Here is a 1,095-nt window from a genome sequence, read left to right on the forward strand (position 1 = left end):
CCAGCATGGTCAACATGGTGAAACCCTGTCTCTACTAAAAAATAAAAAAATTAGCCAGGCATGATGGTGCACACCTGTACTCCCAGCTACTTGGGAGGTTGCGGCAGGATAATCGCTTGAACCCGGGAGGCGGAGGTTGCAGTGAGACGAGATCAGCCACTGCACTCCAGCCTGGGCAACAGAGCCAGACCCTATCTCAAAAAAAAAAAAAAAAAAAAAAAAAAAAAAAGAACATAATGTCAGGTAGTGAGGCTGCTGTGGAAAACACTCAACAAGAGGTAAAGAGTAAAGGAGGTCAGGTTAGGAGCGGGGAAGGCAGTTTACCCTGAAGGGACACAGAAGACCTGACGAAGGTGACATTGGAGCCATGGAGGCCCACGGAGAGGGGCGGGGCAGGGGGGGAGAGCCGGGGCAGAGGGGAGAGCTGGGGCCAAGGCCCTGAGGCAGGAACGGGTTCCCTGTGTTGGGAACAGCAGGAGGGCCTGAACAGCCAGAGTGGAGTGGGAGGAAAGAGGGGTAGAAGGTGACATCAGGGACATAAATGGGTGCAGGGGATCACGAAGGGGTCCTCCTCCTGAAACAGCACCTCCAGATTCCCGGGGCTGCTTCTCTCCAGGGTGCCCCGCCTGCTTGGGTGAGGTCCGGATTGTAGCTGTAGTCCTAGCCTGACGGCCCCCCACCCTCCTCTAATGCCTACTTGGGGTCCCTGCACATTGACCCCCAGGCCTGGATATCAGGGCTCAGGGGAGATAACTTGGAGGTTCGCCCTCTGGAACTCCTGAGGATGACCTCCATCATTTGAAGTCGGAAACCCGGCCCCCAAACTGCGCTCTAAGTCCTCCTGTGACTCTGGGGGTGACCTTTCCAGACTCCCTGGGAAGGTGGGGGGGGGGGGGTGGTCCTCAGAGCCCCAGCGGGGTCGGAGACACACAGACCACCCTCCCCGTTCCCAGAAGTCGCGGTCCCTGCGCCACCCGGAGAGGCCGGTGCAGCGGGCGCCTCCCGGGCCGCTGCGGCAAAGGCTGGGCGGCCGCGCCTTCCCCCCGCGGTGATTCATCCCGCCCCCTCCCTCTCCTCCCTCGTCCCTCCCTAGGC

Source organism: Homo sapiens, chromosome 19 (assembly GCF_000001405.40).
Source record: "Homo sapiens chromosome 19, GRCh38.p14 Primary Assembly".
NCBI lineage: Eukaryota > Metazoa > Chordata > Mammalia > Primates > Hominidae > Homo > Homo sapiens.